This window comes from Homo sapiens, chromosome 7, assembly GCF_000001405.40.
Source record: "Homo sapiens chromosome 7, GRCh38.p14 Primary Assembly".
NCBI lineage: Eukaryota > Metazoa > Chordata > Mammalia > Primates > Hominidae > Homo > Homo sapiens.
In genome coordinates, this window is record NC_000007.14 from 143,333,841 (window position 1) to 143,358,439 (window position 24,599).

The window sequence follows — 24,599 nt, forward strand, 5'->3', positions numbered from 1 at the left end:
ATGTATTTATAGACTTCTCAATTACTGCCTTGTAATAAGATATTTTTATTTCTACCCCTGGTTGTGACATCTATTACAATTGCTGATTGCTGGCCAGGTGCAGTGGCTGATGCCTATATTCCCAGCACTTTGGGAAGCCGAGAGAGGTGGGTCATCTGAGGTCAGGAGTTGGAGACTAGCCTGACCAACATGGTGAAACCCTGTCTCTACTAAAAACACAAAATTAACCAGGTGTGGTGGCACATGCCTGTAATCCCAGTTACTTGGGAGGCTGAGGCAGGAGAATTGCTTGAACCTAGGAGGCGGAGGTTGCAGTGAGCCAAGATTGTGCCATTGCACTCCAGCCTGGGCGACAAGGGCAACACTCCTCAAGAAAAAAAAAAAAATTATTGATTGCCCTTTTTTTTCTTTTGTGATGATTATCTTTTTTACTAATAGTATGTCTTGCCTAAATAACACAACACTTTCCTCTGTATATTAGAGTTCTCATTTATAAGTCTGTTCATACTGAACTTTCAAGCTTTTGAATACCTTGCTATTAACTTATTTATGATACCTTTTATAAATCTATGTTTTCCCAGGATATGAGTCACCAAGTTATATTTATATTGCAATAGCTACAGTGGGTTCATGAGTTCATTTGTTCAATAAATGTTATTAAGCATTTACTATGTGCCAAGTACATAATATTTCATCATTAACCTTTAGCTATATCTTATGCTTGCAACAGAAAAAAAATTTTTAAATATTTTAAAACGTTCTATTTTTTGCTGTTTATTTAATTTAATTTTTTAGTGATGTTAAGACTAGAGACAGCAGATACGTGAAACACCAGATTTCAACTCTGTAACATATTCCCAGGGTGTCTAGAAACTGTATTTGCAAATGATCTTCCCCATTCCACTTTAGGTGGTTTAGTTGAATCTACAGCATTCATATTTTGCACATTCACTTTATTAATTTAATCCCTTTAAAATGTCTTTCTTCAAAAGATTTTACATTTTTATCATGAAAGAAGTTTTCAGTGTCTTGTTAGGGATTTGATTTTTAGACTTTCATTATAGAGTTCATCTTCTCTAATTTATAAATCCCAACCTCCTATAATTAGTTGTTGAGTACACAAACCCATCTACAGTAACCAAGTACAAATTTTGGTGGATCTCAGAATTGGACGGTAGTCCAATGATGATAACTGTATTTTTCTGAGATTCCTCTAGACTGAGCTATACGGCAACATTGGCATCGTATGTACCTTTAAAATATCAAGATTTTGAAAAGTCCTGTAGAAACGAAATACTGTATATTTTTCAACATTTCTGCCAAACCTCATCCCAGCTCTCCAGATTCCCAAGTATATGTCTGGATTCCACTTCGCAAATTCAAGCTTATTTTGAGAAACCTACTTAGATGATATAGAGGACTCACCTGTATGCCACAATTATTAATTTCTCACTAGATTATATCCTTGATAATGTTACATCATACTGTATCAGGAAAAGAAACATATACTTCCTGGGCTATATTTCAAGCCTAACAGTTTGCAGCAGGCCTATAATATCCTATAATATTTACGAACATAAAACCATTCACTGCTACAAATCTATGATATTCCCTGGTTATCACCACTTCCCAGCATTTTCACTGTCTAATCATTGGACACAATAACCATACTCTTATTTTTTAGCTAGGTAGGATACATAGCTAAACTAAAATATAAACATGACTGAAACAATTTTTCCAGTGCCTAATTTGAAATGTAGTCTATGTGGTCTTCTAGCAGCATCTGTACAGGCAGGTAAGATTCTCAATTCAGCTGTTTTGTTTTTTTTTTTTTTTTGATTCGGAATCTCACTCTGTAGCCCAGGCTGGAGTGCAGTGGCACAATCTCGGCTCACTGCAAGCTCCGGCTCCCAGGTTCACGCCATTCTCCTGCCTCAGCCTTACCTGTAGCTGGGACTACAGGTGCCCGCCACCACGCCCAGCTAATTTTTTTGTATTTTTAGTAGAGACGGTGTTTCACCTTGTTAGCCAGGATGGTCTCGATCTCCTTGCCTCATGATCTGCCCGCCTCAGCCTCCCAAAGTGCTGGGATTACAGGCGTGAGCCACCGCACCTGGCCAATTCAGCTGTTTTATAATATTAATGAAGAGAACTTCCATCTTCCTTAATCTCATGACGTGGAAAGTGTCATTACATTATACATCAAGAGAAGAGCTTTTACAATGAGTATGAATACCATTCCAAATTCTCAGTTTGCTTTTAATAAGTCTAACATTGTTACCTAGTATCACTAAGTTCTCTGCACAGCCTGAGGCTCTGTTGAATTTTTTTTCACTCCTTTCACTTCATTCTCCCGAAGTGAATTCTTCATTTTACTCCTTCTAATGAAGGGTCTAAATATGGTGGAAACCCATAATGGGTTTCCAGTTTTCCAGTTCCCTGAAATTGAGTGTTTAAAATCGTGGTAGTTCTGTAGGTCTAGATCTGAAGAAAAAAAAAAAAAAGCTGGGTGTAATCCCAGCACTTTGGGAGGCCAAAGCAGGCGGATCACCTGAGGTCAAGAGTTTGAGACCAGCCTGGCCAACATGGCAAAACCCTGTCTCAACTAAAAATACAAAAATTACCTGGGCGTGGTGGCAGGCGCCTGTAATCCCAGCTCCTCGGGAGGCTGAGGCAGGAGAATTGCTTGAACGCGGGAGCCAGAGGTGGCAGTGAGCTGACACACCATTGCACTCCAGCCTGGGTGACAGAACAAGACTCTGTCAAAAAAAAAAAAAAAAAAAAAGAAGAAGAAGAAAAAAAAAGGAAGGAAGGAAGGGAAAGAAAGAAAGAAAGAGAAAGAAGAAAGTCTTGGGAGTTATTTGTGTTTCACATTACTTCTGGATCTTTTCTTTCACGTGCCAATAGCTAAAAAAGTTTGTTAATCTCATGTGTCAACCTTTGTGCTATAGGAGTTGATAACTTCAATGTCTTCTGATTGTAATACTGTTCTTACACATATCTTGGAGGATAATCTAAAATACATCTTCTGAAATCAGACCTATTGGTTACCTGTTATATGAATTGCTAGAGCTTTCAGATTAACCTGAGCCTACAAAATCTCTTATGGCTTTTATGTACTTATTTCAAAGAGATGGTACAGGATAGTTCAGTCCAACTGTTAAATGTCAGAATCACTTAAGAAGCTTAAATTACAAGTGCCTATAGCCCTATCTGCAGACAATCTGATGTGGTAGCTTCCAGTGGGGTCTGGTCATCTGCATTTTAAAGCAAGTTCCCCTGGATGAGCATTACTCTTTAGTGTTTTAGCAAATATTAGCTCTGAGAAGCTTTTCCTCCTTTGCATGAATACTATTTGTTCAGCCCATCTTCGTTCTTTCCTTCCTTCCTTTCTACCTACTCACCTAGCTACACCCTTCCTACATTTACTGAGCACTGTGCCAGTGCAGAGAGAAGGCAGAAAGGACAAGATGCACTCTCTGTCCTCAGGGGATTCTCAGTCTCTATTCTCTTCATTTTGCCCATTCATTTTTATAGTTCTCAACTGTTTTTGAATAGTCATATTCTGACATGAAGGAGTGTGTGTTTTGCCTCATCTCAGATCTTCTGGGATGAGACTTTCTTAGAGTCTTTGTCACTGTCTCCTGAGGTCAGCCCTGGATGAGGGGAGTTCTTTCTTTCTACGGTTCTGAAAATTAAGAAATATATTTCTCGTTAGCTTACAGTGCAATTGCGCACAGCTCTAAAATTGTGAATACTTTCATCTTGGCAGTTTGTCCTGAGCTTTAGCTGCTACCTTCTTACACCTAATAAGTTTGAGATCCATTTCTGAAATTGGTTTACTTATTTTGGAAGGGATATATAAACCTGTTGCTTTGCTTACATATGACATCTCATACTTCTATTTCTTTTACAGATATTTAAAAAGTTCCACAACTAGCCTTTTTTCCATTCTATTTCTCAATTCTTTTTTTTTTTTTTTTTTTTTTTTTTTTTTTTTTTTTGCGACAGAGTCTCGCTCTGTCGCCCAGGCTGGAGGGCAGTGGCATGATCTCAGCTCACTGCAAGCTCCAACTCCCGGGTTCACGCCATTCTCCTGCCTCAGCCTCCCAAGTAGCTGGGACTACAGGTGCCCACCACCATGCCTGGCTAATTTATTTTTTATTTTTTATTTTTTTATTTTTTAGTGGAGACAGGGTTTCACCATGTTAGCCAGAATGGTCTTGATCTCCTGACCTCGTGATCTGCCCACCTCTGCCTTCCAAAGTGCTGGGATTACAGGCGTGAGCCTCTGCACCCGGACAATTCTTTTGTACTCTTTGCCTCAAAATGCACATATTGCTTTTTGTAAAATGGTCTCAATTTCTATTGGAGTTCTAGCTTACAAAATTGGCCTTAGAGATTTTTTTTCTATCACATTGGCTGACTTATCAGGCTTTCTCAATTTACCCTTCCAGTAGCTAGCCAGGACAGATCTAAATTTTGATCCTTGTTTAAGGTGATCTGATCATTAAAGCAAGTGGCTCAGGCAGGTAAGTCTTCTCTCCAGGTTCTACTGTGAGTTTCACCATATAGATGGTTCTATGACCCCATTGAAGCTCAATTAATCACACAATAAGTCACTCAGACTTTAAATGTCTGACACTTAGAACTGGAGCTCCTTGGCCGGGCGCATCGGCTCACACCTGTAATCCCGGCACTTTGGGAGGTAGAGGCAGGCAGATTGCCTGAGGTCAGGAGTTCAAGACCAGCCGGGGCAACATGGCAAAACCCCGTCTCTACTAAAAATACAAAAAATTAGCTGGGCATGGTGGCGTGCGCCTATAGTCCCAGCTACTCAGGAGGCTGAGACAGGAAAATAGCTTGGACTTCAGAGGCGGAGGTTGCAGTGAGCCAAGATCATGGTACTGCACTCCAGCTTGGGTGCTGGGTGGCAGAGAGAGACCCTGTCTCAAAAAAAAAAAAAAAGAAAAAAAAAAAACCGGAGCGCCTTTTCAGAAATATAACCTGAGTAGGAAAAGTCTTCAAGAGTTTCAGGCTACTTTGCTGAGGCAAACTTTCTGGACTAAATGGGTACAATGGGCTGGGGCTCTTTTGGGGCAGAGAAAGATAAGTACTCCGGGGCTCCATTCCTTGTTCTAGATTGCTGAAAGGCAAATACAGGCACTCAAAGTAGAAGGGATTTGGTCTAGCCATCTAGAGGAACCTTCTGATAGTATTGTCTTTGGTGATCTCTTAGCCTGAGAGCTCTATGGCTTTTGTTTCTGGAAGAAGGGTGACAGACAAAGTGACTTTCAGAAGGATCAGCTATCCCAGGATTTCTGCAGAAAGGAGGATAGTGGGAAGGGAATTGTGTGTGCATGTCTATTGGGCAGAGTTGAAAGGGTATTCCAACGCTTCTTTCTACTCCAGTTCTGGATGTCCATCGTGGCCACCACTATGCCCATACCCTGCGGAGGCTTCATGCCTGTGTTTGTGCTAGGTAAGTTCTGATGGGAAGCCTGGGGTCTGACTGAGAGTTGCAATCTAGGATACAGGAAACATAAGGAAAGGCCCGGGATGCTGGGAGTTTATATTTGTTCTTAATGCCCAAGGAGAGATTGGTTCTGAAAACTGAGAGCAAGGAACTTGGATCTCGTAACACCTTCCTTCCTTTTATCTTCCCTCTAGGAGCTGCATTTGGAAGGCTGGTAGGAGAAATCATGGCCATGCTCTTTCCTGATGGTATTTTGTTTGATGACATCATCTACAAGATCCTACCTGGGGGCTATGCAGTAATTGGTGAGAAACATTCCCACTTCCCTGTAATCAAACATTGAGTACTTCAGATCCCCACACTTAAACTCTCCCATTGGATCTTCATTCTAGGCTACACAATACGGTTTTAATTTAGTGCTACTTAACTCAACTTTTACTCAGATAACATACCCATGGCTCTGACTCTCATTATTTCTTACTGAACTTCCGTGAGCCTTAGTTTCCTCATGTAGAAAAGGATCATAGGGATCAAATGAGATCATAAGATTCTAGGATTGTGTCTGGATGTTTGATAAGGGTTCTGTCTTTCCTTCCCAAGAATCATGGAACCAACAATGCAGGTGATTGGCTCAGGTTGCAGGTGATTGACTCAACCTGAGACGTGTTGATATTGATGGGTAGTTAAGAGCACAGGACTAAGAGCTAAGAAACATGGCTCTAGACTTCTCCTGCCACTTGTTACCAGTCACCATGAAGCAAGATAGCTGCTTCTGAGCCCTAGTTTCTTTATTCTAAAATGACTTCTGAGATAGAGCTATGCCTAACACCAATAGAATCCTGGGATTATTATGCTTCCTCCCTTCCTCAGCAAAATCCCATAGCATCTAAGGCCATGCCTTCCCTACATAGAGAAGTGCTGACCAGCTTTCTAGCTCACTTGGTACGCTGCTCCCCTGACATAGTTTCTTTCTAAAAGCCTCTTTCATCAATGAGGGTCATAGACTCTTGTTCTCCATCTTCATGACTCCCTGGTACACATGCCTCCCTTGTGAACATTTCCTTGTATGCACGTCCTGTGATTGTTTATGTTCTGAAGTATGTTATATGCAATATCCAATAGTGTCATTCCTCCCTATATTTCCCTTCTGTGATGCTTTCTTGGTTGCTCTCTCCCTTTCTTTCTCCCTTCCTTCCTTCTTTTCTCTCTTCTCCTTCTCCTTCTCTTCTCTTCTTTTATTTCCAGAGTCTTGCTCTGTTGCCCAGGAGTGCAGTGGCGCAATCTGGGTTCACTGCAACCTCTGCCTCCTGGGCTCAAGTGATTCTCCTGCCTCAGCCTCCCAAGTAGCTGGGATTACAGGCACATGCCATCATGTCTGGCTAATTTTTGTAATTTTAGTAGAGATGGGGTTTCACCATATTGGCCAGGCTGGTCTCAAACTCCTGGCCTCAAGTCATCCACCTGTCTCGGCCTCCCAGAGTGCTAGGATTACAGGCATAAGCCACCATGCCCGGCTGACTTTTTCTTGTTACATTTTCATATGTGCCTTCCTCTACATTTTCCCCATAGGATACCTCTTCCATATTTAAATAAGAAATATAATTAAAGCACAAAGGACTATTTTGGTTAGTGGAGAAACAACCAAAAATTAACAAGATAGATTCTATCTTCAGGGAGCTTATAGAATTATAAAGTTTCAGATCTACAAGCGCCTTAGAAATCATCTAAATGACCCCTTTCGCTTTATAATTGAGAGCATGGGATTCCAGAGGAATTAAGCTCTACTCATTCCATTGAGAAATAGTAAGAGCAGGATCTGACACAGGTCTCATTGCTGCATGTCCACAGTATGATTCTCGGGTTTTCATTCTATTTACTCACTAATTGTTGGCATTAATACCTAAAGCCCAAGGTAAAAAAAAAAAATGTTATAACTGAGTTGTAAAATGCTCAGTGAAGAGGCCTGATACAGTGGCTCATGCCTGTGATCTCAGCACTTTGGGAGGCCGAGGCAGGCAGATCACTTGAGGCCAGGAATTCGAGACCAGCCTGGCCAACATGACAAAACCCTGTTTCTACTAAAAATACAAAAATTAGACATGTGTGTTGGTGCATGCCTGTAGTCCTGGCTACTCGGAAGACTGAGGCAGGAGAATCACTTGAACCTGGGAGGTGGAGGTTCCCATGAACCGAGATTGTACCACTGCACTCCAGCCTAGGTGACAGAGTGAGACTCTGCCTCAAATAATAATAATTAATAATAATAATAATAATAATAATTTTAAAAAATAATAAAATAAAATGCTCAGTGAATAATCATCCAAACTTTTAAAAGCAAGGAATGGATAGGACATCACTATCTTCATATTATAAATGAAAATTTTGGCACACACAAAGATTTTGTAACTTGGTGAAGTTTATAGAATGAGATCAAAATGATGATTTTTCTAAGAGTTCAGTATTCTATTCCCTACTCTTGACAAGTCATTATGAGTATTGGCACTGACCAGGGTCATGTCTCTCATTCCGTGTTATTCCCATCCCATCCCCATATGTCCTTCATGCTAAGAACGGTAGCCCTAACCTACAGGCGTATTCCTGTGTCATTCTAGGAGCAGCAGCGCTGACTGGTGCCGTTTCCCACACAGTCTCCACAGCTGTGATTTGCTTCGAATTAACGGGTCAGATTGCTCACATCCTGCCCATGATGGTGGCTGTTATCTTGGCCAACATGGTGGCCCAGAGCCTGCAGCCCTCTCTCTATGACAGCATCATCCAGGTCAAGAAGCTACCCTACTTGCCTGACCTTGGCTGGAACCAGCTCAGGTCAGGGGCACTAGACGGAATTAGTTCAGATCTGATGGGGAGAGTGGGAGGTTCTGAGGCTGAGACTGAGCTTAGAGTTAAAGTTTGGAAACACTGTTTTAAATTATTATTATATTCTCATGCACCTAGTAGATATTGTGAGTGACTGAAAGTATGGCAAATCTTATGGGAGGAATGGAAGGGATAGGTATACGGTGGGGCTAACCCACCATGCTTTCTCCCTCCATAGCAAATATACCATCTTTGTTGAGGACATCATGGTACGTGATGTGAAGTTTGTTTCAGCTTCTTACACATATGGGGAGTTGCGAACCCTGCTCCAGACCACCACAGTCAAGACTTTACCACTGGTTGACTCAAAAGGTCAGTGGGGAGGAAGAAGTCGACTCCAGAGCTAGTGACCTGAATAAGGGTCACATAGAGGTAGAGGAGGCCCCATGGTGGGGGCTTTGTCTTTAGGGGCCATCCAATGTGCTATGTACAAGGAAGGAAAAATTAAGCCATAACACAAGCACACAAAGACAGTTAAAAATGCAATTAAAAGGTCCTGGCATGGTGGCTCATGCCTGTAATCCCAGCACTTTGGGAGGCCGAGGTGGGCAGATCACCTGAGGTCAGGAGTTCGAGACCAGCCTGACCAACATGGAGAAACCCTGTCTCTACTAAAAATACAAAATTAGCTAGGTGTGGTGGTGCATGCCTGTAATTAGAACCCGGGAGACGGAGGTTGCGATGAGCCGAGAACGTGTCATTGCACTGCAGCCTGGGCAACAAGAATGAAACTCTGTTAAAAAAAAAAAAATTTCCCACTAAATACAGTCAATTCTCATAATTCATGGTAGTTATGTTCAATTAAGTATGAAGTTCAAATACTATACTGAATAATTGCTCCTAGGAAAAATACAGGGCTGTGTTCCTGTGAGTCTCTGGTCACATTTCCATCAACCAATCAATATATGACCTTGTTGTATGTGTGTTTCTGGTAAAGACACCTTATTTCACAGATATTGTGGATTAATTAATATTGAACTTGTGCCAACAGCACTATAACCCTTGCCTGAATTAAGCTTACTTAACACACATATTTTCTCAATAAGGCTCATCACAGCCTTCTTGCACTAGGAACAGTAAACAGCACTTTGACATTATATTTGGTGGTCATTTTTAGCAGCAAAATCACCAACACAAAGCACAAAAATGCAAAAAGGATGGCACTAAATAGACTACAAAATGAACACCTGTTTACAATGTGAAAGCTGAAACAAGAAGGTACAGCACTGCTTTGTTCAACTTCAGCTGGGAACAGGGACATGGGACAACTAAAAATCTTTGTTGCTCTTTGCATGTTTGTGAATTACAGTGAAAGCACCTCTAGTATTGGTTTTGTGTTACAAATATATTTTAGTGACTAGCTGAATTCACAAATAGGGAATCCATGAATAATGACAATTAATGTAAATCCCATAGCTTCTTACGTTGTTCCATTTTGATGCTTACATAAGTCATGCTTGTTCTTTAATGCCCAACTTATGGAAGAGTTGGAACTGTTTTCTTTCTTCCTTCCTTTCTTTCTCTTTCTTTCTTTCCTTCTTTTTCTTTCTTTCTCTTTCTCTCTCTCTCCCTCCCTCTTTCCCTCTCTCTCTCTTTCTCTCTCCCTCCCTCTTTCCCTCTCTCTTTCTCTCTCTCTCTTTTCTTTTCTTTTCTCTTCTTTCTTTTCGACAGAGCCTCACTCTGTTGCCCAGGCAGGAGTGCAATGGCGCCATCTTGGCTCACTGCAACCTCTGTCTCCTGGGTTCTAAGTGATTCTCCTGCCTTAGGCTCCTGAGTAGCTGGGATTACAGGAATGCACCACCATGCCCAGCTAATTTTGTATTTTTAGTAGAGACGGGGTTTCACCATGTTGGCCAGGCTGGTCTCGAACTCCTGACCTCAGGCGATCCACCAGCCTTGGCCTCCCAAAGTGCTGGGATTACAGGCATGAGCCACTGTGCCCGGCTGGAACTGTTTCACATGGAGGAGTGAATGGTTGTTAGTAAACGATAATTTCACATTTCTCTGCCTTCACCATCATTTGACACTTCATCCTGCTTTGTATGATTTCTTATTGTGGTTTATATATCTATATCTTGTCTTCCTAACTAGGTGGGCATTCCTTGAGAATAGAGGCTATGAATTCTATATACCCAGAGTGCCTTGTTATAGGTATCTACTAGATATTAAATGAATAATTTCCTAGTGTTTGAATTAGTGTAATAAAGAAAAATCATGTAGGGCCATTTGGAGTCATTAAGATTGTTAGTTCTGATTTCCAATAATCAGAATATCCAAATTTCTCAAATTAAATTAATTCAAATATTTTCCCAAATCTCATATACATTCCACGTTCTACAGCAGAGGCTCTTTATTAGAGGAGGGGTACAGCCAACAAATGAGGGGCAAGGTTTTCATAATAATGACTGAGACCTAACAGTAAAATTCATCTCCAGAGCACTGCTGCAATGTCTTGGCCTTAAAACTTAATAAAAATGTTAACTATAGTAGCAAAATTTCTATAATCATATAAAAGACCTTCTCAGGAAAAGTAGGCATTTTGATTTATCCTAGCAGGGTTTTTTTTTTTTTTTTTTAATGAAATCTCGCTCTTGTCGCCCAGGTTGGAGTGCAGTGGTGCGATCTCAGCTCACTGCAACCTCTGCCTCCCGGGTTCAAGCGATTCTCCTGCCTCAGCCTCCCAAGTAGCTGGGATTACAGGCGCCTGCCACCACGCCCAGCTAATTTTTTTATTTTTGGTAGAGACGGGGTTTCACCATGTTGGCCAAGGCTGGTCTCGAACTCCTGACCTCAGGCGACCCGCCTGCCTCGGCCTTCCAAAGTAGTGGGATTACAGGCGTGAGCCACCGCCTGGCCCAGGTTTTTTAAATGATGAAATGTCAGATACAAAAGAAAGAGTTCCCTTGTTTCCCTTTTTCCAGGGAGAGATATAATGTTTGTATTGCTTATAGACTTCTTTCAAAGCGTGTTCACGTCTCAGCTTATTTGAATGGCTTCTCATGTTTCTTTTTATTTGGACAGCATTGATTAGCCTCCTTAATTATCAGCTCACCTATCTGAAGTCTATATAAGGCCTCATCAAAATAAGTACAAATTAGCCCAATTAGTGCTCTACCAATTGGCCCCGTACCTGCTAAATGGATGAAATAAAAGGGATTGAGTGAGGTTAATCTTGGAGGATTCTTAAAATGAGTTTCCAGGAAGCTGAGAAAGATGTGGGGACGCCGGGCAGGGTGGCGCCTCTCCTGTTCCTTCTCAGGAGTGCGGAGCGCGGTGGTGCGAGAGGGCTTGGAGGGGGCGCTCAGGCAGGGCGTGGGTTTCCCTCAGATTCAATGATCCTGCTGGGCTCGGTGGAGCGGTCGGAACTGCAGGCCCTCCTGCAGCGCCACCTGTGTCCTGAGCGCAGGCTGCGCGCAGCCCAAGAGATGGCGCGGAAGTTGTCGGAGCTGCCTTACGACGGGAAGGCGCGGCTGGCTGGGGAGGGGCTCCCCGGCGCGCCTCCAGGCCGGCCCGAGTCCTTCGCCTTTGTGGATGAGGATGAGGACGAAGACCTCTCTGGCAAGAGCGAGGTGACCGCGCCGGGAAGGGCTAGGGAGTGGGATAGATCAGGAGCAAAGGGAAAAGCGTCGTCTGGGCTGGGCTGGGCTGGGCTGGGACAGGCGTAGTTTCCCTGAAAGTAGTGGGAAGAGGGAGGGGAGAGTCTGGTAACTGAGAAAGCCAGAAATTCTGGATCAGGTACCATAGAGACCAGTGCCTCTGGGTCCAGGGACTAAAGAAGATAAGGTTGCAGATGATGGTATCCTCGACAATTCAAAGGGATATAGGAATTTCTGAACTGGGGGGAAGAATAGAGTTCGCTTTCCCAGAACATCCACCAACTGGTAAAGGCAGTGAAGGCCCAGGCAGTCTCTGCTCCCAGGCTGAGACTTCTTACTCTTCCTTACAGCTTCCTCCTTCCCTTGCTCTCCACCCCTCTACTACTGCCCCTCTGTCCCCAGAAGAGCCCAATGGGCCTCTGCCTGGCCACAAACAGCAGCCGGAAGCACCAGAGCCTGCAGGTGACGCTCTTCCCTCATGCACCCCAACTCACCCCTTGTGGGTTCTCTCTGGTCACTAGGACCTGACCTTGACCTGCATGCAATTCCTATGCGGGGTGGGGTGGGGGGTGAGGCTGGGGGATTGAGGGAGGACAGGGTTCTTATTCATCAATTCTCCTTGTTACTGTCCCAGGGAGTGGGAGCAGAGGGTGATTTAGGAGGGTAGAAGAGAGGGTGAGGTACCTGGGAAGTGCAGCTCTTTGGAGGCAAATGTTAGGCACTGGGTGGGGCCCCTGGCCGTTTCCTGTTGCTTTGTGTCCATTTCCATCCACTCACCTGTCCTCTCAGGTCAAAGACCCTCCATCTTCCAGTCCCTGCTTCACTGCTTGCTGGGCAGAGCTCGCCCCACAAAGAAGAAAACAACCCAGGTGAGAGGAGATGTGTTTGGGGATACAGGGGAAAGGGAGCCTGCCCTTGAAGAGTGAGAAACCCACGGTTCTTAAATCAGGAAGGCAGAGACCCCACCAAGGAGGAGGAGTTTAATCATATGGAAGGGATGATGAATGAAAAGGAGGCATCGGTGGTCCTGGCCAGGGAGGGATGGCTATTGTTTCATTGGGAGCCATAGCTACCATGGGAAGAAAAGGGAAAGAACTTGGACCTATGTCTTTCTTCTCTAGGATTCCACAGATTTAGTGGATAACATGTCACCTGAAGAGGTGAGTAAGGGAAATGGAAACCTGGGGTGGATTGTTCTATCAAATGAAGATATTGCTAATTTGTTTCTACCTTCTTTATTGTGTTGTCATGAAATAGAATGTGGTCTGGATGGGAAGTGTTTTGAGAGGATGGAAATAAGGATGATTATGGAGAGAGTAATGAGTGTGTGATGGGACATGGAGGTGTTCTCAGAAGGACACGTCATTTCAGAAGAGAAAAACTTTGAGCCTCCATGAGTAAATGGGGCCATGGTGCTAAGATGAGCCCCAGATCTTTTAGAGATTATGGGCTTTCTGGATCAGGCAAAGCTTTAATGGAGGTAAAATGGCACCAGGAGGCTGGCACTAAAACAGCAACATAGAAGAAGAACATCAAAACTAAAATGGGAGGCCGGGCATGGTGGCTCATGCCTGTAATTCCAGCACTTTGGGAGGCCAAGGCAGGCAGATCACCTGAGGTCAGGAGTTTGAGACCAGCCTGGCCAACGTGGTGAAACTCCATTTCTACTAAAAATACAAAAATAAGCCGGGCATGGTGGCACGCACCTGTAATCCCAGATATTTGGGAGGCTGAGGCACGAAAATCACTTGAACCCGGGAGGTGGGGGTTGCAGTGAGCAGAGACTGCACCACTGCACTCCAGCCTGGGTGACAGATCCAGACTTTGCCTCAAAAAAAAAAAAAAAAAAAAAAACTAAAATGGAGAAATCTGCTCCTGGTGGAGATTACTGTGCTGGATTGATCAGGGCCCTGAGACAGTGAACAACTGGAAAATGCTAGGCATTGCTACTGGGAAGAACTGAAAAAGGAAGAAAATAATGACCACGGTGCCTCCTGGGGACAAACAAATGCCTATTTTCCTAAACGAGGTGGTTATCAAATCTTCAAGAGAGAAAAATCAAGCATTCTGAATGTGCTTGGTTGTCAGGAGGGAACAGAATGTGGACTAGTGATTGGAAGCAGGCGGTATCAGAACATACCGAGGGGTTGTGGAGGAACATCAACAGAAAAATCCATTGGCAACTATTCCATATGGTAAAAGAATGCAGAGTTTGCTGCAAACGCCGAAAACGTAAAGCTTGTAAAGTATGAAGCTGACAAAAAAAACACGGCAGATATTATTTTTAAATGAACATCTTATTGGATATCCAGAATAAATATGTGCTGACAATGAAAAGCATTACAGGATTGGAGGAGGATGTTGTGAGTGACAAGACAGAAGAGAAACCTTCCCCACCCCCTCAAAACACACACACTTCTGATAAATGACTTGTGAAAAAGTCAAATCGATGATCACAGAGGGAAAGGAAGAACTATTCCTTCTGCCCACAAGCAGGAATCAGAAAGGCCATAATTGCAGTTAAGGAGTACTTTGTTAGGTTGCTAAAACCAATAACAATAAGTTTTGCTTTTTTTCTTTTTTTTAATTTAATGCACCAAAGAGAGAAAACCAGCTAGTTGATCAGTGTGGCTATTGAATGACCACTGGAAATAAAGTGAAGCCAGGGATTAAAAATAAGATAGACTATCATTTCTAGCTTATGTCTTTCCCAGGGAAGACTTTAAGGAGCTACCAACTCCCATGTGACCCACTGAGACATTTTAGAGGGATAAGATCTAACAGGAGTTGAAATTCAGGATGTTTTGAACACAATTTTCAGACCAGATGATACCCTTGACAATATCAAGATGTTGATATTGACCAAAAAAACAGTATGGGGGCAGTATGGGAATATTGAAAGATTCAATTATATGTTGCCAGAAGTCCCTACTAGGATTTGTTTAATTCTGCATACTCTGGAGTACACACAGAGCTCTGTTTCTAACCGGTACCGAGCTTATTCAAGTAGTGGAACACACCAGCCTCAACAGCAACGTCCTGCATCCCTTGCGCAAAAGCTGGAGATGTACCTGGAATACAAACAGCAGTCAAGGTTAGAAGCCCAGCTCCACCAATTACTGACTGTGTAATCCTGGGCAAATGACTTCAACATGCTGTGCCTCTGTTTCCTCATCTATAAAGTGAAGATAATGATAGAGTTATTAGAGAAGATTAAATGAGCTAAGACGGGTAAGTCAATTAGAATAATGCTTGGCAAAGAGGATGTACTTGATAATCATTCACTGAAAATGTTGCCGCGTTATTGTTAAGGAAAGGCAAAAACGGAACATAAGGCCACAGATGATCATAGAAAAGACCAAGAGGACGGGATGGACCAAACCATGGTTGGCAAGGTCTAGCCCCCGTCCTATACCTAAATCTTCTCTACAACACACCTGCTAAGTGGTCATCCATCCTATGCTATGTAACCTCTGTAATCCATTAGTCCGGAAGATGAGAGTATAGAGGAGTCATGATTGTAATCCAGAAATATCAGGACAGGACAGGTGGAGTGAGCATCACTACGGGCTACACACCAGATCCTAAACCTATATAATGCCCTTTGGTGATATTCTCTGAAGTTTGAGAGGTGTAGATTTGGACAAATAGGAAAATAGAGTTCTAGATCATTCAGAGGATACTGACTGAAAAGAGATTTTAGAAATTTTAGAAAAATGTAAGAGAGCCAGAGATGTAATGGATTATTTGGACTCTTGGGAATTTTGGTGTGCGTATCTAAAGTCAAGAGGATGGTTGGCCTTTGTGCCTTAATGCTTCTGTCATAGACAAAAACAAACAAACAAAAACTGGCTTTGCTCAAGTCAGCTAAGTGCCATGAGGTCCAGTATAGCTCTTCAATTTCAACAAGTACCCACTACAGTTCCCTGCATGAGAGGTGATGTGCTAGTTTCTTCACAATATACAGCAGCCGATACCACATAACACTCAAGACAAATGCAGAGGTAAGACAGATGCCAATACAGCAGGAAGTATGGCCAATGTCATTTCTGAAAAGGTGAGACCAGCTAATACTATGGGAATAAAAAAGGGGAGAAGCACATCTGATTGGGAGAGTCAGGAAATACGTACACTGCAGGGAGAGGGTAGGGCAGGTAAAGGAACTCCAGATGGTCAGAATAGCAAAGACAAAGGGGAAGGCATGTTTGAAGAGCAGAAAGCAGTCTGGTTTGATTGGAGCCCCACGTCTTATAGTAGTAGTGGAAAATAGATGGGAAAGATAGGTTGGGAATAACAAATGTTTGGGACGCCAGGGGATAGGAGAGTTGGAGCCTAGAAGAGGGAGGGGTGTTCTGGGTACCTGGGGGTTGCAGGGTAGGTTGGGGGCCTGATGAGGAAGGGCAGAGAGGCTCTGTCCCCTGGGAAGAAGGAGGAGGTCCTCTGATCTGGGGGATCTATGATCAGTTCTTGCATGTTCCCAGATTCTGGGCAGCGGCTAGGAGGGCCGTTTGGGGTCAAAATCAGGTATCTGGGGTGAAAGGAGGCTCTGTGATTTTCGTGACTTTCCTCCTCTGGCTGACAGATTGAGGCCTGGGAGCAGGAGCAGCTGAGCCAGCCTGTCTGTTTTGATTCCTGCTGTATTGACCAGTCTCCCTTCCAGCTGGTGGAGCAGACAACCCTGCACAAGGTGAGTCTTTTGCTGACTGCTCAGGGCTGTGGGGAAGGCAGGAGAGCTGTGGGGCAAGGAACATGCACTGACCTGTGCTCTTCATCCTCAGACTCATACCCTGTTTTCACTCCTTGGCCTCCACCTCGCTTACGTGACCAGCATGGGGAAGCTCAGGGGCGTCCTGGCCCTGGAGGAGGTAATCACGATGTGTCCCATTTGAGCAGCAGGAGGGAGGCTGGGCATAGGATAAGGGGATGCAGTGGGGACAGAAGGAATATTAGCATCTCAGAAGTCCCCTCAGATTCCCTTCTCTATTTCTTTCTTTTTTTTTTTTTTGAGACAGAGTTTCACTCTTGTCGCCCAGGCTGGAGTGCAGTGGCGTGATCTCAGCTCACTGCAACCTCCGCCTCCCGGGTTCAAGTGATTCTCCTGCCTCAGCCTCCCAAGTAGCTGGGATTACAGGCGCCCGCTACCACACCCGCTAATTTTTTGTATTTTTAGTAGAGACGGGGTTTTGCCATGTTGGGCAGGCTAGTCTCAAACTCCTGACCTCAGGTGATCCGCCCGCCTCGGCTTCCCAAAATGCTGCGATTCTAGGCATGAGCCACCATGCCTGGCACCCCTCTGTATTTCTTATGCAGAGATTGGAGGGGGTAGAGCAAGCAGCCAGCTGAGGTAGAGGAGACTACGAAGCCTGTTATGGCCACAGCCCTGAAGGGAATGGAATTCTCCACCCCAGATGGGGCCCACGTGATCTTCTGTAGATAGTGTGGGTTTGAGATGGGGGTTCCAGGCATGAGTCACAGTTTCTCGGGGATGCGCTTTGAGGAAAGCTGCGGAAAAAAGGCAGTGGGGGGATGTGGCTGCAGGTGGTCACTAGGAAGGAAGAGGTCACCCAAGGGTCTGAGTCTGGGCAGGTGGATCTTTTGTCATGCCCCTTTTCTTGTCCTTTTTCTGTTTTCTTTCTCTGATTGTTCCTTGTTTTCTGTTTCTCTTTCTCCCCGTTTTGCCACTCTATATCTTTCCTGTTCTTTTTTCCTTTCATTGTACCTGTTCTTTTCTGTGTCTCTCACTGCCCCCGTCTTTTTTCTTTTTCCAACTTTTTACCCTCTTTTCCTTTCCCACTGCTCTTCAGCTACAGAAGGCCATTGAGGGGCACACCAAGTCTGGGGTGCAGCTCCGCCCTCCCCTTGCCAGCTTCCGGAACACGACTTCAACTCGAAAGAGTACCGGGGCACCTCCATCTTCTGCAGAGAACTGGAACCTGCCTGAGGACAGGCCTGGGGCCACTGGAACAGGGGATGTGATTGCTGCCTCCCCAGAGACCCCTGTGCCATCTCCTTCCCCAGAGCCCCCTCTCTCCCTGGCCCCAGGCAAGGTAGAGGGCGAGTTGGAGGAGCTGGAGCTGGTGGAGAGTCCAGGGCTGGAAGAGGAGCTGGCCGACATCTTGCAGGGCCCCAGCCTGCGATCCACAGACGAGGAGGATGAGGATGAACTGATCCTTTGACCCCCTCCCACGACCTCCTCATAAAGACCGTGGAGAGGCCCAGCCTGAGGGTGAACTTGTGTGGGGCAGGGTGCGTCCTGAATGTGGCGAGGTCATGCCAATGTCGTGGCCTCTTCCAGGAATTTTTTAATGTGATAGTCTTAAAGGAGGAATCAGCATTTAGGCAGGGAGGAGCCTTGGTCAATTATTTTGACTGTTCTCCCCATTCCCAGCCAGGCAGGTGGCCCTAACCCTAGCGAAGGGCCCCTGATATTCCGTGGGGCTTCCCGAGTGTTCCTGGTGTGCAGGAAGGGAATCCCCTGCCTCTCTCTGCCTCCCCCTCCCCACCCAACAATTCCCCAGTACTCTTGTCCCAGCACTGTGCTATCTGTGCCTCAGTGTCTACAAGAGGTGGGGTGAGGGGAGGCCCAGAATGACTGTGGCCCTGCAAGTGCCATGTCGGAGGAGGGGATGGGACCATCCTATGGCCTCGGGCACTGACTACCCCAGAATGTGCCTCCAGACCAGCCACAGCCGCTTCTCTTGGAGCCCTGCGCTGGCCCACGTCTGCTCCTGCAGTCTGCCTCTGAGCCCACTGCCTGTGTCGAGGCCAGCCACAGCCACTTCTCTTGGAGCCCCGCACTGGCCCATGTGCACTCCTGCAATCTGCCTCTGACCCCACTGCCTGTCTCCAGGCCAGGCCGTGACTAGCGCAGTGAGAGGCCGCCCACATTCCCCCTCCGTTGTCCCCTGCTTCAAGCAGTGAGATGCAGAGAAAAAGACTGTCAGGGGCAGCGGCCTGGAAGAAAAGGTCGCCAAAGGCTCTGTGCAAAAGACACAAGTGCCCTGTTGCTCAACAATCACGCCCCCATGGTGTCCGCCGACTCCCTCTGGCAGAAAACTTTCTATTCCACAGCACAGCTTCCTTGTCCTCCAGTGTCCAGGTTACTCCCTAGGAAACACATCCTCCCTCTTGTTATTGACTTGTCCTGCCAAAGGTCAGCTCTACCCTGGAGCTGCTCTAGCCAGGGCCTCTCCTGCCAAGAATCAGGGCTCAGAGCAGCTAGGTCACTGGGTCACTCAGACACCAGCCCCCTCTTAGACTGGTTCTTCAGATGCCTCTCCTAGGGGTGGAGAGTTAGGAGCTGAGCGTCAAGATGGCAGGGCTCTTGAGTGCTGCCCCGCACTTGGGAGAGTCACATCTTCACCCTCCCCAAATCAGCAGCAGGAAGCCTGGCTATGCACTCCATTAGCGTGCTTTCTCTACAAAGAGAGGCCAGGTGCTGTGAGCATCCCCAAACCCTTGCTCCGTACCCAAGGTTTTTCTCCCCAGCCTGCCATCCCGTATGCCGTTCTTAATTCTACCATTGTGCCCCCGCTCCGACATTCTCCTCCTTTGCCTCCCCTGTTCCCAGTCTCCTCCATCCCCCAAATAAGACACTCACAGTCAGAGGATGCCACCACATTCTGTTTAGTGTCATTGAACACAGCCTGTAGCCTTCTCCAGCATCACATCCCTCCCACTTCCCCAGGCCAAGAGAGATGCTGAAGCCTGGGTGGGGGACTGGCAGTGGGCATTTGAGCCCATGCCCTTGTGTACATAATCTCTAATATTTATATATATTGATATAGAATTCTCTCTATAATATATGTCATAGAATCTCTCTTGGGCCTGGCGTGGGAATGTGACATTAAGAAAACATGCTAAGACTGGCCAGAAAAATGGATATTTCCCAGACCTGGAGGATGGTGTGTGGGATGTATAGGTGAGGTCGTGGAGAAGATAATAAACTCATTCCCCAAGATACCCTCTTCAACACAAGGACAAGAAGGAAGGTGTGTGGTGGGGGAGGGGACAATGGAGGGGGAGGAGTGGAAGATTTGGATTTTCATTTAATAAAGTCAATTGAAAATGAAAGTGCACCCCCCCTCCAAAAAAAGAAAATCATTTAGCAAGAGCAGTTTCATTCACAAGAATATAAAAACAGCCCTGTTCCAGGACTGCTGTAAAACGTGCTGCACAGCCTTAACCCCAAAGGAAAAGCAACCCTTTCCCACCCCGAAACAGCCTCTTCCTGCACATGCCCCTCCCCACCCCCTGAAATAGACGATAAGCAACCCCCATGCACCCTGCCCCCAGCACCAGAAGAGTCCTAAGATGGTCCCAGGCCAGCTCCTCAGTCTCCCTCTTCAGAGCGAGTAGGAGCTCCTTGCAGAAGACAGACCCCCACCTGACTTCCATCTGCAGCAATATGCCAGCACCCTGGGGAAAGCAGGTTCATGTATGAACCCTGCTAGAGTCCTTCAGATCTTTAGTCATCTTTTGTCAGGGACCATTTGGCTTCCTTGGGAAAGGGAAGGAGGAACGAAAGCTGCTGTGGTCTACCTTTCCTAACTCCCCCGGGCCTGAGCAAAAACGAACTGTAATGAATGAACGCACTCACTAGGTGAGCTGTCCACCGTGGTCTGGGGGTATGATATGGGCACTGAGAGGATGAGACGACAGGAAGAGGTGATGTGGGAATAGCACACATTGGAGAAGGTGAGGAACCAGGGACCCCATGGAAGGAAGGTCACATGAACATGCAAAACCCCAGAGCCTGCAGCAGGAGACGGGTGGGGAATAGCTGCCAGGGCGGGCATGCTAGACCACCTCTCAGAGCTCCTGGAAATGAGGTCCTGGGACATGGAGTCAGCACACGTTAGCAAGCACAAGAGGACTCTTCCCCTGTACAGGCAGCATTCGGTTAGGTGACTGCACCTGCCTTGGTTCACCTTGCCTACGCCCATGTTTCCTCCAAAAACCAACCTCAGGATAACCATTGTCCCCCTTCCATGGAAGACACAGAACCCCCTGCCCTGCTTGCATCCCAGAAGTGTGAGTAAGAGAGTATGAACTTGATGGCGGGACAGGACCATAGATGGACAGAAACACCCCAACTCTCAACCTTCTCACTCCAAAATAATAAGTTCTGGGGCCTGGGGGTGAGGGCAAAGTTTGTGCCCAGGGCCAGGAGAGGACAACAGTGCTCCCTTCCAGCAGAGGATGCAAGTGGTAGGACTCCTGACAGAGTGTGGGTAGGACACAGGCCTGGGAGCCGGAGCCTTGGAAGGGCGTGAGGAAAGAAGGAGATAGGGCAGTGAGCCTCTTAGGCCTCTCTCTCCTACCCGAACTCTGCCTGTGCCAAGGGCTGGGGAGGGGCTACCTGGGCAGTGGCAGGGCCAAGTGCTCTCCAACCCCACAGCACCGCTGCTTTGCTCCGCCCATCCTCTGCCTGTGCTCTCACGGTAGTGCTGGGGCGCATATGCTGCTCAGTCCCCACCAGCATGGATGCCAAGTGTGGGAGGGCAAGCTTGTGCCTCACCATACACCATCCTGGAAGGAAGAATCCGCTGATTTTCCTCTCTTCCTCTGGTAGGAGGCCTGGGGAGGCAGGGAGGACAGCTGTGAGGCTGTTTGGGAGTCCTGGGAGGAGCTGAAGAAGGGGCAGAAAGTGCCGAGTGCCCACCCTGGCCCTCAGCTGCAACCCTGCCTGGCTGAGGGAGTGACAGCACCGGACTCCTCCCTCCACTCCACTCAACCCTGAGTGCCCAAGAAGTTATAAAAATGTAGAAAAGGCAAAGAGAAAAGTGTAAACAGCTTCAGAGGACAGGGGTGAATAAGGGGAGACAGCCCTCATGCTCCCCCTGCTGTTGGCGACACCTGCATCCTGCGTTGGTGTATCCAAGATGGGTGTCCCCACACCCTCCTCAGGCTCCCGGAGCAGGGATGGAAGAAAGCTGAAAGGGAAGCAAGAGCTGGAGCAGCCAGCCCTGGCTGGGTCTTTTCCCAGATCCTTAGGATCTTCCTTTTAGCCATGGGATATTAAAGATCCCAGAGCAAGGGGCTGTGTTTGTTCTTAGTCTCCTCAGTGACTCTCTTGTCTCCGGGCAGGCCTTGATAGAAAGAACCACATCCGTGCCCCCTGTAGATCTCAGCTGCCACATCCACCTCCTCCTCGACTCCTGATCTCAGAAGCCAAATGACCTGCTGAGGCAGCCTCTCCACCCTCCCCATGGACGTGCCCTTCAGGCAGCCTCCCCTGCGCCTGTCCAGCCATGTCCAACAGCCCCTGAGGTCTGTTCTCTCAGTAGGGATGAGCTGGGGCCACAGCCAGAGAAAACAGAGTTGGGAAAAGCAAGAGTGAAATGGAGAAAGGAGGCATTCAGACAGCAGAGTTACAGCTCCTGGAAGACGAAATCGGGGCGTGAAGAACTGAGATCCAGTCTTGAGCACAGCTGCGCTGCCCCCGTCCTCAGGGTGCACACACTGGAGGCTTTGTCGGCACAGACCCAGAAGCCCACAGCCCAGGTCCTTCTCCACAGCCACACCAAGCTCACGGCCATCTAGTTGCCCAGGTCTCAGTTCCCAGGCCTGTGGGTTTCTAGAGTGTAAGCCTGGATAAAATCCCATCCTGGTCCTCCATTTCCAGGAGAGGACTGGAAGCTCCTGGGTTCCCCAATGTTGTCTGCCCAGTTTCAGCTGTACTGCTGGGGGGAGGGAGGGTATGGGTCACAGCCATGGCCCTCAGGTGGGAGTGGAAGGCAGGGCATTGGGGGAGGAAACTAGTTGTTGGCCTCGCCTTCCTCCTCATCAAAGGACTGCACACCTGAGGATGTGACGTCAGACACCTTCCGGCTGAGAGCGGTAGACATCTCAGGGTCTTCTCGTGGGGAAAGTGACTCCAGGTCCCGGCATCCCGCATCCTCTTCCTCCTCAGGTGCCAATGGCCTCTTCTCCTCCTCAGCAGGGCCCCTTGCCAGGTCCACTGCGCCTACCCCCGGAGCCCAGTCAGTGTCTCCCCCCAGCAAAGGTGGAGGCTCCAGAGCAGAGTATCCTGAAGCTGGTTGGGAAGGTCCCATTTCATGCAAGCTGGGTTGTGAGTCATCAAATGCAGGCCCAAGATAGGATCCTGTGGCCGGAGAGGCAATGAGGGACTGATCGCTGGCTTCCCAGGCATCTGACGACCCCAGACAGTACATACCCTGGGACACGTAAGAGTGAGGCCATCCATCCATGGGTGCTTGAGCCAGGGCATCTGGAAAAAGAATCATGGAGGTCAGTGGGGCCACAGAATGTCAAGGGCAGGAATGACAGCACAGACAGCACAAGAGACAGCTAAGAGACAGCACAGAGAACTGGCAGTAAGACACAGAGTGCACAGTGAGTAGGGAGGACAATGGGAAAGCTGAGATGGACAAGGAAGTCTTAAAAGAACGGAGCTGAGTGGAGGCAGCTGAGATAGTTGGGGAGGCCTCATAGGCTCCAGAGTTTGGATTCTGGAACATCTCTCACCCTGACTGTCCATCAGTTCCTGGTAGTTGTCACTGTAGTTGCAGCCCAATGGCTCCTGGGTGGAGTTCACACTCATGTCCTCACCATCCATGGAAGACCAGGCCATGAGTGTGGCCTCAGAGATAGCAAACTGCTCCATGACGCCTGGGGGAAGAAATGCAACAACCACAAAATACCTCAGGGAATCCTTAGACATGTGCGTGGGGTAGGAAAACATCTTAGTGCAGCACTGTTCAGTAGAAATATAATGCAAGCCACTTATATCATTTTAAATTTTCCAGTAGCCACATTTAAAATTAAAAAGAAACAGGTTAAATCAATTGAAATAATAGATCTTATTTAATTCGATATATAAAAAGATTTTCATCTCAACATATAATCAAAATAAAAGTTATTAATGAGATATTTTACATTCTTTTATTTATATGAAGCCTTTGAGATCCAGCTGGTATTTTATACTTATAAGCACATCTCCATTCAGAAGAGCCACATTTCAAGTTCTCAATAACCACATGAGGCCAGTGGCTAATGTATTGGACAGCACAGCCTTTGTGTATGTCCCCAGAGAAGGGAGAATTGTAGGGGACTTCCTAAAAAATCAGATTTAGGATTCCTAGGGGAAAGAGTTAGGGGTCTTCTGATGAGATATCCTAAGAGATTCAAATTCGAGATTTCCAGATATTTATCTTTGGAGGTTTTTAGGAATTGCAGTCTAGAGAGTAGATTTCAAGATCAACAGAGAACCCCCAAGAGAGCATCGTGGGCTTGTGGGTCCACCATAATATAAAACTGAAATTCAAGGGATTGGAAGGAAAAGGGGATGGGTAGACCTGGGGATCCCTATTCTAGTCAAATCCATGAGCGTGTTGAAGCTGGTACTGCTCCTGCCCCCCACCCTACATGTTTGTCACCCTGTTCACTGATATTTCTCCTCCCACCCATACCACCAACTCAATACTTCCTTTCTCTTCCAGACCTATCCCTTTCTAGGCATCTTATTTAGACCTGCACTACAGCTTGGCCACTCTTGTAGGCACACTGCATGCCTGTTATCAGACCTACACTACTTTCCTGGAACTAAACCTCTTCTGTAGGCCTCCCGTCTCTCACACAGTTCCCTTAATCTTCTAGTGGTTGTCACAAGTAATGAGTCTAGTAGG

At 46.5% G+C, this 24,599-nt stretch overlaps 2 protein-coding genes across 13 annotated transcripts in view, besides 2 other annotated features; one reads left to right on the top strand and one right to left on the bottom strand.

Annotated features, from left to right (window-relative positions):
- CLCN1 (chloride voltage-gated channel 1) overlaps positions 1-18,243 on the top strand; it is a 35,973-nt gene extending 17,730 nt beyond the window's left edge. For both annotated transcript variants that reach the window (NR_046453.2, NM_000083.3), the window contains 11 exons: positions 5,413-5,482; positions 5,671-5,781; positions 8,089-8,302; positions 8,532-8,665; positions 11,681-11,922; positions 12,300-12,411; positions 12,739-12,818; positions 13,071-13,109; positions 16,532-16,636; positions 16,728-16,814; positions 17,754-18,243. Coding sequence is in view for 1 of the 2 variants with exons in the window: in NM_000083.3 (NP_000074.3) it covers positions 5,413-5,482; positions 5,671-5,781; positions 8,089-8,302; positions 8,532-8,665; positions 11,681-11,922; positions 12,300-12,411; positions 12,739-12,818; positions 13,071-13,109; positions 16,532-16,636; positions 16,728-16,814; positions 17,754-18,125 (1,566 nt within the window). In the remaining variant the exon portion in view is untranslated. The remainder of the gene's footprint in view (positions 1-5,412; positions 5,483-5,670; positions 5,782-8,088; positions 8,303-8,531; positions 8,666-11,680; positions 11,923-12,299; positions 12,412-12,738; positions 12,819-13,070; positions 13,110-16,531; positions 16,637-16,727; positions 16,815-17,753) is intronic.
- Positions 11,576-11,870: a silencer, noted in NCBI's record as "tiled region #4117; K562 Repressive DNase matched - State 4:PromP". NCBI's record gives its function as "represses a minimal TATA promoter and a strong SV40 promoter by Sharpr-MPRA in K562 cells {active_cell/tissue: K562}" and the evidence as "EXISTENCE:reporter gene assay evidence [ECO:0000049][PMID:27701403]".
- Positions 11,677-11,756: a silencer, noted in NCBI's record as "silent region_18722". NCBI's record gives its function as "represses an Ori minimal core promoter by ATAC-STARR-seq in GM12878 lymphoblastoid cells {active_cell/tissue: GM12878}" and the evidence as "EXISTENCE:reporter gene assay evidence [ECO:0000049][PMID:35858748]".
- The window catches only part of FAM131B (family with sequence similarity 131 member B), a 28,905-nt gene continuing 23,865 nt past the window's right edge, over positions 19,560-24,599 (bottom strand). For all 11 annotated transcript variants that reach the window (NM_001371250.1, XM_047421075.1, NM_001371248.1 and 8 more), the window contains 2 exons: positions 23,440-23,583; positions 19,560-23,182 (listed from right to left, as the gene is read on the bottom strand). In NM_001371250.1, coding sequence (NP_001358179.1) covers positions 22,710-23,182; positions 23,440-23,583 — 617 coding nt within the window. In that variant the 3' untranslated portion in view covers positions 19,560-22,709. The remainder of the gene's footprint in view (positions 23,183-23,439; positions 23,584-24,599) is intronic.